The 14,460-nt window shown below is 45.9% G+C and overlaps 1 protein-coding gene and 1 long non-coding RNA gene across 4 annotated transcripts in view, besides 1 other annotated feature; one reads left to right on the top strand and one right to left on the bottom strand.

Moving 5' to 3' along the window:
- GPR143 (G protein-coupled receptor 143) overlaps positions 1–14,460 on the bottom strand; it is a 53,257-nt gene that overhangs the window by 1,337 nt on the left and 37,460 nt on the right. For all 3 annotated transcript variants that reach the window (XM_024452388.2, NM_000273.3, NM_001440781.1), the window contains exon 8: positions 12,803–13,037. In XM_024452388.2, coding sequence (XP_024308156.1) covers positions 12,803–13,037 — 235 coding nt within the window. The remainder of the gene's footprint in view (positions 1–12,802; positions 13,038–14,460) is intronic.
- LOC105373126 (uncharacterized) lies at positions 10,418–14,371 on the top strand. The gene is made up of 2 exons (XR_950507.2): positions 10,418–12,037; positions 14,100–14,371. It is a non-coding gene; the product is annotated as an uncharacterized LOC105373126 (long non-coding RNA).
- Positions 12,642–12,761: an enhancer, noted in NCBI's record as "active region_29403". NCBI's record gives its function as "activates an Ori minimal core promoter by ATAC-STARR-seq in GM12878 lymphoblastoid cells {active_cell/tissue: GM12878}" and the evidence as "EXISTENCE:reporter gene assay evidence [ECO:0000049][PMID:35858748]".

The raw sequence follows: 14,460 nt of genomic DNA on the forward strand, positions 1-14,460 counted from the left end.
AGAATCTTGTAACTGGTCACATTTTTCTCTTTACTCCCCATTTAGAAAGCCCAAAGCCAAACTACTAATCCATTTTAACTATGTGGGGCTAATTCTACCTGGCTTTCTTTTGATTTCATTATTTCCTTTGGTCCTGTTTTCTTTATTTGTTAATCAATCTTCCCCTTTCTCCTGTCCTTCCAGAATGTGACAAGATTTACAAAAAGCAGACACAATACAAAGAGGGAGAAAAACGTAGGCAGCAATCAGCAGTATGAAAGTTAACATCACTCCCATCGAAAGAGTAATCCTGGATGTCAGTCATCATTCTGATAGTGACAGGAGGCAGCCAAATGCCTAGGCAGATAGGAGTGGGTCCCTGGTTTGGGGTTTCGACCCCACCTTCAAGCCAAAAACAGCCTGAAGTCTGAAAGACTGGACTGCTGGTAACGGATGAAATCCACAACCCAAAGGGAGAACCTCTGTTCCTGCCCTTTCTCAATTGATTCTTTCTGAATAATGCCTTTTAACCAATCGAACATTGCCTTTTCCAGTACTACCTAAGGCCTGCTCCTCCCCGATTCTGAGCCCATAAAAGCCCCAGACTCAGCCATATTAGGGAAACTTTCCCACCTTCTGGTAGGGGGACCACCCCTGTGTCCCCTTTCTGCTGAAAGCAGTTTCATCACTCAAAACTCCCTGCCTTGCTCACTCTTCTATAGTCAGTGCATCCTCATTCTTCTTGGGCATGGGACAAGAACTTGAGAACTGGTGTGCAAGCCAGACTTGGCCCATGCAAGCTGGGTGGGCAGGCCATCTCCTGCAACAGGTAGCATGGCCGAGCGAGGCCTGGGCGGGGCATCACCAGCCAGAGGTCCCCAGCTTGCAAAGTGACCAAGAATAAAATCCTGCATCAATTCCAGCAACATGTCTTCCTTCAGAATCTGTGAGACCCTTTGGAACCAATGTCAGAATTATTCTTCCAATCCCCAAATATCCTAGAGTACTTGCTCCAGCCGCAACACAGGTTATGGGCTTTCACATGGGGAATACACAGGTGGAAGACACAACAGAGAGTGGCCTTCCTAACAACAGATGGGGCAAGTGACTGCACTCCAAAAAGCCTCCAAAGCCCTCCACCCATGGGCCTTGCTGACAACTGCAGCTTACTCTGTGTTCCTCTCAGCTCCCTCACACCCTTAAGCACACTGCCTCTCTCCCTCTCACTCCAGGCTTGGTCCTGCCACAGGGCATTGGTGCCTCTCTTTTTCTGCCTGTAAAGCTCTTCTGATTTTCTCATGGCTCCTACAGTTCATTAAGGTCTCAATTCTAATATTACGTCATGCTCAGGAAGACTCTCAGGACACCCTCTCTAAAACCATGCTCCTACCTCCTCCCTGATTTTTCTTCATGGCACGTCCCACTACCTGGCTGGAATATGATGTCATTATTTGTGTTTTTCTTTCTGTCTCTGCCACTAGAGTGGAGTCTCAGTGGACAGGGAATGTGTCTTGGTCACCATAGTGTACCTAATGCCCCAGACAACACCTGGCATGTAGAGGGTGCCCAATAAACATGGGGAATGGGTCAGTACAGTCACATAGGTGCCTTGACAGCAACGGGATGCAGCACTAGTACCTTGGAGCACTCATTAAGACATGAGTATAAAGAAAAGGGCAGGAACAAGCACAATTTTAAAAGAGATACATGCAGAGTTTGAGAGGACATGTTAAGGAACAAAAAAAAAAAAAATTAGAGTTATATAGAAAAGAGGAAGTGAGAAACTGTGACATCAGGAGAGATGTACTTGGAAAGGATTAGGGAAGCCTGAGCTACAGCAAGAGATGACAATATTACCAAGAAGGCAAGTGTGGGCTGGGCACGATGGCTCCAGCTGTAACCCTAGCACTTTGGGAGACCGAGTCAGGAGGAGTGCTTGAGTGTGAGACCAGCCTGGGCAACATAGACCCTATCTCTTAAAAAAAAAAAAAAAAAAAAAAAAAAAAAAAGGCATGATTGCGTGTGCCTGTGGTTCCAGCTACTTGGGAGGCTGAGGTGGAAGGATCTCTTAAGCCCAGGAGTTTGAAGCTGCAGTGAGCCATGATCATGCCACTGCACTCCAGCCTGGGCAACAGAGTGAGATCCCACCTCAAAAAAAAAGGCAAGTGCAATATTGTGGTGTTCCTCCAACACATACACATGCACCTGCCCACACACACACAAGCACTGTGGGCTGTGGGAGGACACGACACTCAGATCTTCCTCCCAGGTTTGGATTAAGATGAGTCCTGGATAATCTTGGTCTGAGTAACTCAGATCAAGTGTGATGAGCTGCTTGAAGGGCAGGTAAAGGGATTCAAGGATGTGGGGAGGATGGATCTGGCCGTAGATCGCCCAGCCAGATCCTGAGGAGAGTCTGGGTAGCCGACAAGGATGGTGGAGAGGGTGGTTTTGTCAGTGTGGTGAATCTGCTTTTTCTGGAGCCCAGACACCAGCTGGGAAAACTTCTAAAGGAGCCTTCCAGTTCCGGAGCAACATTCTTGCTGGAAGGGGGCTGGTGGCACTTCAAAAATACTTGATTCTAACAGGGTCACACACTGTTTATGAGGACATCTGGATTCATGGGAACTCCTTTGTGATTTCTGTGGTTCTTTTCAAATAGACTCTGGGCTGGGATGTCACATGGTGGCTTGTGATCAAGGTCTGGACTGAGGACACTCCCCCGTGACCTCACACTCTGGGACATGTTCTGGGTCCTGTGGCTTTGAAGAATTTCTAGTGCTTTCATCCTCTCCCTAGGGCTCCATGGAAGAGAATATTTATGCATGACAACTTTCTTGAAGTAAATTCTGCTGGGAGGGAGCTGCCCAAGTTCAGCCTGCCTGTGCTCAGCTCAATGAGTGCTTTCCAGCAGCCTTGAATTTCCAAGGGTTTCTCTGCTGGTCTTAAAGGTCTCTGTGAGCAGGGAACGTGCTGGCTGAGCAAGTCTCTGAGAAGATAATTCAACCAGGCTGTTGGAAGATGTTGACTAATTCCCAATTGTTGCAAAATCTGTGAAGATCTAACGTCCCTGCAGGAAATGCACGTCCCAGTGACCTCATGGTACCCAAGGGCCAACCCCCTTCCAACTGGCCCTCTTTAATGAGCCTTGCAAGTCCAGGTAGGTTGTTTGGATTCTCTCAGCCCCATGCAGATCTGAGATTTGGACATACAGCCATGCACCACATAATAACCTTTTGGTCAACAACATTCCACATATATGACAGTGGTCCCATAAGATTATAATACTGCATTTTTACTGTCCCTTTTTTATATTTAGCCATGTTTATATATACAAGTATTACTGTGCTACAGTTGCCTACAGTATTCAGTGCAGTAACATGCTTTACAGGTCTGTAGCTTAGGAGCAAGAGGCTGTACCATCTAGCCCAGGTGTGTAGTTGGGTATACCCTCTAGGTTTGTTTAAACTCTATGGTGTTCACACAGCAATGAAATTGCCTAACATGCATTTCTCAGAATGTATCCTCATCGTTAAGTGTTGCATGACTGTATATTGGATGTCCCTTGTGCCCTCAACTGCCTTTCTCAGATCCCCTGAAATCTTTGAAGTCCTAGAACTGAAACCCCAACCAGTGGGCACTGAGCATGAACCATAGAAAACATGACACCTGGCCCAACTCCACTTCAAGGTGTTAAATTTGATCTCGCCAGCTCAACAAAGTCCAAGGCCCTAGGGTATTTTCTCTTCCACACCCTCAAAGCAACTACAGTTGATGAAGACACCACGTGTTACTTTTAGGGAGAGGGGAAGGTAACAGCAGACCACTGAGGGGAAAGCTGATCTCCCAGAGCCCAAGCTGAGACTTCACCTGAGCTGGGTGGGTTTTGCAGAGGAGTGGAATAATGTCCAATTCTTGGGCAGTGTCTCAGGGTGCTACTTGGAGAACAGGCTGCTGAAAAAATTCTGTGTATGCATGGTGCTAGGTAAGGGGCCTTGCCATTGGGAGGTGGCTGGTCTAACAGCTTACTAGAAATTTTGCAAATTATGGAGGGGAAGAGAAGTCCAGGCTAACATGATGGCTTTTCAGAGGCAGTGAAAAGAAGCAGCCTTGAAAGGCAGCCACTGAGTGCCCCAAAGGCTCTTGTTTGAAGCATGACTCCTCCTGTTCCAGAAAAGGGTCTGTCCCTCACAGGTACTCCTGCCTTCCCTACCTTCCTCCATATGCCCACATTTATCTCTACAGCTTACTTGTGGAAACAAGCCCCAACTGGTCCAAAGCACCCCACTCTCTCCCACTCACTTGTTGCTGTCAGTATTTGAATGAATCAGCAGGGTTCCACTGAAACTATGAGAGGGTAACAGGCACGGGAAGGGGAAGGGCTGGGGCTTTGGGTGTTTGCTGTCTTGAAAGAAGTGCTCTGAGAGAATACTTATTTATATTTCAAAAGCTGGATTTTAATAACCTACTAAAACAGAGGCCTGTTGGGATATGGAATTTAAAAAATAAAAAAGCTTGAGGTCAGGAATTCAAGACTAGCCTAGCCAAAATGGGGAAACCACATCTCTACGAAAAATACAAAAAAAGTAGCTGGAACTTAGGGAGCCTGAGGCAGGAGAATCGCTTGAGCCCAGGAGGCAGAGGTTGCAGTGAGCTGAAATCATGCTACTGCACTCCAGCCTGGGCAACAGAGCAAGACTCTGTCTCAAAAAAAAAAAGGGAAGGAGAATCTTAGAAGAGAAACAGTGGAGATGTACAAGAATGATGGAGAAATATGGAAGATAATGGAAAAGTGCGGAAGGGAACAGAATTTGGAGGGAGAGCCAAGAATTATGGGAAAGGACAGACTCATGGGGAAAAAATGGTGGAAAACTGGGACTTACAAGAGAAAAAGAATTATGGGAAAGATAGGGTATTGTGGGAGAGAACAGAAAAATGTAGAAAAAAATAAGAATTTTAGTGAGAATGAGGCACTATGGGACAGAAAGGGAATTTGGGGAGAGCCAGGGAAGTGTGAGGAATACAAAACATCATGGGAGAAAATGGAATTGTAGGAGGGAACAGAGATTTGTGAGAGAGAACAGAGAACAGAGAATTGTGAGAGAGAATAGGGAATTGTGGGCAATATAAGGAATTGGGGGGGGGGGGAAGGAATTGTGGAAGGCAAGATACTGTGGAAAAGAGAACTGTGCCAGGCACAAAGGATTAATGGGAAAGACTAGAGAGTTATGGGAAAGTGATGAAATTGTGAGAAAGGTCAGGAATTGTGGAGGAAAATGTTGAATTTGGGGAGAGAAATTATGGCAGAAAATGAAAAATTGAAAAAGAACTGCATGTGAGACAATTTAATAGAGAGTAGAATTATAGAAAAAGAGATCTGTGAAAGATAAGAATAAAAAATTGTAGGAGAAATAGAGAATTTGTGGCAAAGACAAAGATTATTGGATAAATGGGGACTTAAGAGAGAAACGGAACTGTGGGAGAGACCAGAGAACCATGGGAAAGACAGAGATTGTGAGATGAATAGGGAATTATGGGAGGAAACAGAGGATTGTAGGAATGACCAAAATTGTGGGAGAAATAAGGAATTCTGGGAGAGCAGGGAATTGTGTGAAGGACAGGAACTGTGGAGAACAGAGTTGTGGGAGAAACAAAGAAGTATGGGAAAACAAGGCATTGTGGGAAAGACAGACCGGTAAGAAACATACAGGACTATGGGTGGGAATAGAGAATTGTGGGAAAGAGCTGCAATTGTGGGAAAAGCAGGAAATGGCGGGAGAGAATACTGTATCTTGGGAGAAAAGGAATTATGGTGCAGAATTAGTTGTAGGAGAAATGGAATTACAGGGCAGAGAGAATATGGTATAGAGAGAATACAATTACAAAAGAAAGATTTCTGAAATAGAAAAATGGAGAATTGGCTGGGCACGGTGACTCACACCTATAATCCCAGCACTTTGGGAAGCCGAAGTGGGCAGATCACTTGAGGTCGGGAGTTTGAAACTAGCCTGGCCAACATGGTGAAACCCCATCTCTACTAAAAATACAAAAATTAGCCAGGCATGGTGGTGTGCACCTGTAGTCCCAGCTACTCCGGAGGCTGAGGCACAAGAATCACTTGAGCCCAAGAGGTGGAGGTTGCAGTGAGCCGAGATCGTGCCGCTGCACTCAGCCTTGGCGACAGAGTGAATGAAACTCCATCTCAAAAAAAAAAAAAAAAAAAAAGAATGGCAAATTCTGAGAGAAAGAAGAGACGAGTGGGAAAGAAGAAATTGTTAGAGAAATATGGTACAGTGGGAGAAACAGGAAATTCCTGGAGAAAGACAAGGATTGTGGGAGACAAAAGGAATTATGGGAGACTCAAGATATCATGGGAGACACAAGGCATTATGGAAAATTCTGAAGCTTTATCGTGGGAGAAAAAAGGAATCGTGGGAAAGATGGGGATTGTGGGAGAAAGAAATTGTGGGAGAAAGAAACAGGAAATTGCTGGAGAAAGGCAAGGATTGTGGCAGACGAAAGGAATTGTGGGAGACGCAAGGTATTATGGGAAATGCAAGGCATTATAGAAAATTGTGAAGCCGTATTGTGGGAGAAAAAAGGAATCATGGGAAAGATGGAGGTTGTGGGAGACTGAAGGTACTATGGGAGAAACACAGAATTGCGGGAAAGACAAGGCTTGTGGGAGATTCCAGGTATTATGGGAGATGCAAGGCATTTATGGAAAACCATGAAGCCATATTGTGGGAGAAAATAGTAATTGTGGGAAAGATGGGGATTGTGGGAGACTCAAGGTACTGTGTAACAGAATTGTGGGAAAGACAAGGCTTGTGCGAGATTCCAGGTATTATGGAAGATTCACGGCATTATGAAAAATTGTAAAAAGGGATTGTGGGAGAAACAAGGAATTGTGGGAAAGATTGGGATTGTGGGGGACTCAAGGTAGTGTGAGAAAGAGAACTGTGGAAAAAAAGAAAGGATTATTGGGAAGAATGGAGAATTATGGGAAAGAAGAGGAATTGAGGGACAGGCAGGGAATTGTGGTAGAGAATGGAGACTTGTGGGAGAGAACAAATTAGAGTGGAGAATGGAGAACTGTAGGAGAGACAGATTGTGGTAGAAAATAGATTATAGAAGAGGCCTGATGCAGTGGCTCACGCCTGTAATCCCAACACTTTGGGAGGCCGAGGCGGGCAGATCACAAAGTCAGGAGTTCCAGACCAGCCTGGCCAACCTGGTGAAACTCCGTCTCTACTAAAAATACAAAAATTAGCTGGGCGTAGTGGTGGGTGCCTATAATCCCAGCTACTCAGGAGGCTGAGGCAGGAGAATCATTTGAACCCAGGAGGCAGAGGTTGTGGTGAGCTTAGATCGCGCCATTGCACTCCAGTCTGGGCAACAACAGCGAAACTCTGTCTCAAAAAAAAAAAAAAAAAGAAGAAGAATAAAATAGATTATAGAAGAAAACAGATTTTCAAGAAAAAATAGAATGGAGAATTGTGGGAGAAAACAATTGTTAGGAGAATGTTATTGTGAGAGAAATAGGGAATTATGAGAGAAAAAAGAATTGTGGGAGAGACAGGGGACTGTGGGGAAGAATGCCAAATTATGGGAGAGCCATGGAACTCTGGGAGAAATACAGAATCGGGGAAAATACAGGGTATTGTGGGAGATACACGGAATTGTGGGAGAGACAGAGAATTATGGGAGAAACAGAATTGTGGAGAGTAGAGAGGATTGATGGTCAAACCAAGAATGGCGGGGTGGGTGTCATATGGAATTGGGGGAGATAAAAGGCATTGTGGGAGATACAGCTACGCTCCTTTCTGGCCATGTTTCTGGGCTCTGAATGGGCCTCACCCCACCTGTGTGGGAACACAGCCCCTCTGTTCTATCCTAACCACGACCCCTCCACTCCCAACAAGCCCTAAGCCTCAGCCTCACCGGCCTGGGCTTCTCCCCGGGATGATCCTTAAATCTTGCAAGTTTGTGTACTAGCACACTCGTCTTCCAGGAAAGATCTATACTCCTGCTCCCATCAGAAATGCCCTGCTCTTAGTAGCCACATCCCTCCTGCCAGACTCTGCCCCTTCGCTCTCACCAGGCCCTACCCCAAAACACAGCCCCGGCCAGGCTCTATAAGCTCCACCCAGTCCCCACCCCTCCTGCCAGGCCATGCCCCCCTGGCTCGCTCCCTGGAGGGAAACCGGGAGGTACCAAGGGGCTGGGTCTCCTGAGAGCCAGCGCAGGCCCGGGAGTTGGGTGCCTGCACATCTAGGGAGTCAAAAGCGGTTCAGGTGCACAATCCTCCCCTAGTAATGACTCTCTTCAGGATTGTCCCAGATCCCAACACCTCGACTTGATGAGCAGAGAGTGTTCAGCAAGGAGGCACAATGGTGACGGGGCGTGGAACCGAGCTCCATCCAGCGGCTCTCCGCCTCCCTAAGCGGAGACACAGATCCCCTCAATGGAAACTGCTGCCACAATCACAAAACGCGATGCATTACGTGTTTTCTTCCACGCCCATGCACTGGGCTGGTCCTACAAGCAAATTGCAGTGTCTCTCCACTTAAAAACCTTAACTGGCCTTTCGCTGGCCACCGGATAAAGCCCAAACGCCCTAGCAGAATCTTTATAAACCCTTCACCACTTCTCCAGCTTCCCCCAACGCCTCCATACCACGCTGAGCCACAACCGTCCCCAAACAAGACGCAGACTTTCTATGCTAACTCTCAACACCGCGTCTTCCTCATCTAGATTTTCTGTCTCCTCTTTGCCTATGCTGTTCTATCATCTAAGACCCAGCCCGCACATCACCTTCTCCAGGAACTCTCACCAGTGTTCCAAAACCAACTTAGTCCTGCATTGCCTGTGTTCCTTTAACCCTTCACAGGTTTAAAAAAAAAAACAGTATTGTCCTTACTTACTTGGGAGTTTCACAAATTATACTTCTCAGGAACACTCACCCATCCCGGCTAAAATGGTGTTGAATATTTGCTTAAGACAAAATTCAGTTAACTTGTGTGAAGTACCTAGTAAGTTCCAGACACCATATCAGATACTTAATAAAGCTCCATGCCAGCCTATTGGTCTTGTAGTGAAACCCGAAGCAGTAGGGTCTGAAGGGTATGATGAACAAGTTGAGCTTTATATCCACTGTCTACATAGGGAGAAGCCCATGGCTAAGTTTTTTCTGTATCTGCCATCGTAGTAATCAGGTGCAGCCAATAGGAAAGCAGCCCTGGTAAGGGGTTTTCCTTGACTTTACGCACAGAAGTAGTATCCGATGCACACTTAACTTACCCAAATTCACCTCTACTTAGTGAGGGGCTGGGGAGGTATGGCAGGGAGAGTAGGTGAGGATTTACATAGTCCCAGGGATCCTGCTGCCTGCAAGCTGGTAAAGCTCTGGTAGGAAAATCGGAATGACACCTGCGTTTCCCCCGCCACTGACAGAAGGGAAGCACATTCTGGGGTGACAGGCAAGTGGCCCCAGAGACATACCGACCAGGAAAGATTTAGAAGGGATCCTAAAATTGTCCCCAAACAATACAATGGTGATGAGAGCCAAAAGTCCGATGTGGAAATATTAAAAAATGTGAGGTGTCCTAGGCAGCAAATTAATTTCTGAATAAAAGCCTTTTCAATTCTTTTTAGATTAATGTATGCAAATTCCTGCATAGGGTTACCATACAAAATGGTGATGACTGCATGTTATGGGCAATTTTAAGATATTCAAAGGGTGACTAGATGTAAACTTATGACCCTAACCACCACCTCAGTAGCACCGCCACTTTATACTTTTTTTTAAAGAGATGGGGTCTCACTATGTTGCCCAGTCTGGACTCCAACTCCTGGCCTCAAACGATCCTCCTTCCTCAGCCTCCTGAGTAGCTGGGGATACAGGTTCATACTACCAGGCCAGGCCACTTTATACTTTTGCAGATGTTTGTTGTTAATTCTGAAAACTCACTCTATGCTTCAAGCTCTATCCTCAAAAACCCTGACAGATGTTACCTAATAATATGTCACTTGGAGTTCTAAATTGGCAGCTGCCATTTTTACAGGAATTCTTCCCACAATAAAAAAATACCGATTGTATTTCTCATTTTTCTCAAAAGGCTTTCCTTTTGTTCTTTCCTTTTCCTCCAGTGTTTTCTCCAATTGGTATTTCCATTGAGTGTTCTATTGTTAGAATAGAATGATTTTTTAAAATATTTTAATTTTCTCCAATAGACTGTGAGATCCTTGAGGGCCAGGTTTACACATCTCCAGTATCTCCACCCCACTCAGCTCCTAGTACACAGCCTGGTAGAGTTTGGGGCAGTCATAAGTAGTTATTAACAGAATAAGAGTGGGCCAGGTGCAGTGGCTCAGGCCTATAATCCTAGCACTTTGGGAGGCCAAGGTGGGAGGATCATTTACAAGAGTTTAAGACCAATCTGGGCAACATAGGGAGACCCCAGCTCTATAAAATAAATTTTAAAAACACACACACAAAACCAAAGAAAATTAGCAGGGTGTGTTGGCACCTGCTTGTTGTCCTAGCTACTCAGGAGGCTGAGGTGGAAAGATAGCTTGAGCCCAGGAGATCAAGGCTGCAGTGAGCCATGTTCATTCCACTGCACTTCAGCCTGGACAACAGAGTGAGACCCTGTCTCAAAAATAAATAAATAAAACAAAGAATAGGTGTATCCATACAACGAAATATTATCAATCCATAAAAAGAATGAAGTTCTGACACCTGCTACAACATGGGCGAATCTAGAAAACACTATCCGAAGTACAAGAAACCAGACACAACAGGACGAATATTACACAATGCCCTTTCCATGTAAGGTCTGGAACAGCAAAGCCATAGAGACAGAAAGGAGATTCATGGTTGCCAGGGGCTGGGGAGAAGAGAAGGGAAATGACTCCCTGGGGGCACAGGGTTTCTTTCTGCAACGATGAACATGTTCTGACTTAGATAGTGGTGACGTGTGCACAACCACTGAAATGTGCCATTTAAAGGGGTGACCTTTATGGTACGTTAATTATATCTGAAATTTTTTAAAAAGCCAAGGGACCAGGTGCAGTGGCTCAAGCCTATTATCCCAGCACTTTGGGAGGCCGATGCAGGAGGACCACTTGAGACTAGCCTGGGCAACATAATGGGACCTCGTGTCTCCAAACACTAAAAAATAAAATAAACTAGGCATGGTGGTGTGCACCTGTAGTCCCAGCTACTCAGGAGACTCAGGTGGGAGGATTGCTTGAGCCCAGAAGGTGGAGGCTGCAGTGAGACGTGTTCCTTCCGCTACACTCTAGCCTGGATGACAGAGGGAGACCCTGTCTCAAAAAACAAAAACAGGGAGCCCTCACAGAGAGCAGCCTCCAGGGATGGCTGCCCTGCTTATTTTTCTATTGGATCTGTATTTGCTTTTTCTAAAACCTCTATGTGAAAACATCCAACCTTTGAGCAGAAGATCTATGCAACAGCTTGCCGGAGGGAGTGGAAGTAAGGAAATGCTGATGGATTTTGTTTGGTGGTGGTGATTGGGGTGGGGTGCAGGGGACTTTTACTGTTATTTCTAGTGTTTTATTTGACTGTCAAATATCTGCTCAGCCACTTTAAAACAGCAGGATGGGAATGCAAAGCCAAATAATTCAAGATAACATTTTTTGCTTCATTCCCTAGATGGTATCAGTAACTCTACAGACTAACAGCAGTTCCAGCTGGTGGGTCCCTCATGCTTCGTGAACTATTTGTACCAGACGGAAAGTCTGTAAATAAATCTTCTCTCTGTGTCTTTTAGCTTCAGCCAGAACTATCTCTTTCTCTTCATGGCTCCCAATTTCAACCAGACAGTACGGTATCATGGAATCAATTCATCAGTTCATCACCATATTTTTTGGTCTTCAAAGTAAACCAAGCTTGTCACCTGAAAGTGAAACTTCCTTCAATGTATTTGTTTGTTTTTGTTTTTGTTTTGTTTTTTAGACGGGGCTTCACTCTTGTTGCCCCAGCTGGAGTGCAATGGCGCGATCTCAGCTGACTGCAACCTCCTCCTCCCAGGTACAAGTGATTCTCCTGCCTCAGCCTCCCAAGTAGCTGTGATTACAGGTGTGTGCCTCCATGCCGGCTAATTTTGTATTTTTCGTAGCGACGGGTTTTCACCATGTTGGTCAGGCTGGTCTCGAATTCCTGACCTCAGGTGATCCGCCCACCTTGGCCTCCCAAACCTGCTGGCATTACAGGCATGAGCCTCCACACCCAGCTATTTTTGTATTTTTAGTAGAGATGGAGTTTCACCATGTTGGTCAAGCTCGTCTCTAACTCCTGACCTCAAGTGATCCACCTGCCTTGGCCTCCCTTCAGTGTATTTGAATAGTAGGAATGGAAAAGAAAACGGAACTCCTTAAGCCATTTCCAAACATCTTTCTGCATATTATTTTTCTTACTCCAAATTTCAACATTATTTTGGTACACCCCATCACGGGATTGTGTGGTGTTTGTCTTTGGTTTTGTGTTTGTGTGCATTTAGCTCAGACAACATCTGGAAAAAAATCACATTTTTAGATCCAAGCCTAATTATTCTGAGACACTGGTTGTGAACTGGGGGCCACTGTGGCTCCCCAGGAGACATTTGTCAATGTCTAGAAAGAGTTTTGGTTGTCACAATTGGGGAGGTGCAACTGGAAGCTAGTGAGTTCACATGAGAGGTGCTGCTGAACACCCCGCCATGCACAGGACAGCCCCCGGGACAAAGAATCCTCTAAGGCTTTCCAAGGGGAGCCCTGGGACCCCGAAGTCTACCTGCTGTGGCAGACAGGGCATTACCTTCAGACAGCATGCTCAGGGCTTCGTCAGAAGTCTGCCCACCCACTTGAGACACCTTCCCGGAAGCAGGGTTTTCATGGGGCATCAGTGGGGATGGGTGAGCCCCCTCAGCAGCCGAGGTGGTCAGTGATTCCCACTGGATCTCCTTCCTGGGAGACTGAAAACCCAGGCTGCATCCTGTCCAGCCGTAGAAGGCCAAAGACAAGAGAAATCCCTGGGCTGGATTCAGGATTCCCTGGAGAGAGGACAGAAAGACACATGGCAGTCAGTGCAGCGTAGCAGAAGTCAGAGCCCTGGGCTGTCACAGAGTGACACACTCCCCCCAGGATGCCCACAGGGCTGGACTCGCTTGGAAGGGACCATGGGTTGGCTGGTGGCTGGTTGACTGGTTGGTGGGTTGGTTTGGGGCAAGATGAAGATTGGCCACAGTAGGTGCTGTACCTTCAAGGGTGCCTGAAAGCAGAGGGGAGTGGGGAGAGGAGGGGACGGGGAGGAGCTGGAGTAGAGAAGGGAAGAAAGGGGACAGAGGACAAGAGAGAGGAGGGAAGACAGGAGAAGGAGAAAGTGGGAGGAGAGGGTGGGGGAGGAGAAGAGGGCAGCAGTGGGAGAAGGGGAGAGGGAGCGCTGTAGCACAGGGACTGAACAGCCAGCTCCTCCTGCAGCCTGGGGGCCTCTGTTCTCCCCAGTTTGCCACCCTGTGCTGCCAAGGGAGCACTTGATGTAATAAAGGTTCCTGAGGCTCAGACGGAGTCTGGGAAACATCCCTCCACTCTTGTGTGCTAAGGACACATAAAGTTCACCAGAGGAACCCAGCCAAGCTCCAAACCACGTGCAGGGATGGAAGGACCGGTGCTGGCTCCATTTGAAAGTCTTTGTAAATGAGACTTTCCCCATTTCAAAAGCAATATAAATATGGATTCTGTATAGTACAATATGCACCTCCCTGCCAACAACACGTGTGCATTTCTTCTTATAAAGGTGAGAGAATGGCAGCACTGGGGCAACTTGCCCATGGGGCTTCTACCCCATCATTCTCTTCATGTATGTCCATCCAATACATGAATTTTTTTTCTGTTTCATTTCTTGTGTTTTTTCATTGTTTCCCCGTTGAAAAAAGATAAACATGTTTTTCTGTACTTGTAATTGGTATAATTGTATATATTTGATTTCCCAGTTAATACCAGAGATTTCATAATCATCATTTTTAACATCTGAGTAATAGTCCATCAAGATGAAAGACCATAATTTACTTAAACATTTCTTTCTTTCTTTTTTTTTTTTTTTTTTGGAACTCCAGGTTGCCTATAATGCTTTACAATTATGAAGGATAATGCTACCAGGAATATCTTCATCTGTGTGGCTTTTTCATGGTCTGAAGCATTCCTTCAAGATCCATGCTCTGATATTGTGAGACTGCCAGGAGCTTTGATACACTGCACCAAACTGTTTGACCAGAGTTGAAGCATTTAATAAGGATCCCGACAACAAACAAAACAGCCAGCTAGCACACTAAGGCCAGGAGCCTATTTTGCTCATCCTGTATTTAAATATAATATATTGTACTTCTGACTGCTTCTTTTTCTTCTGATTTTTTTTCAAGCAGAAAGTGTTAAATATAGATAATTAAAAAAAGAGATGGGGTCTCCCTACATTGCCCA

Source organism: Homo sapiens, chromosome X, assembly GCF_000001405.40.
Source record: "Homo sapiens chromosome X, GRCh38.p14 Primary Assembly".
In the NCBI taxonomy this organism is placed as follows: domain Eukaryota; kingdom Metazoa; phylum Chordata; class Mammalia; order Primates; family Hominidae; genus Homo; species Homo sapiens.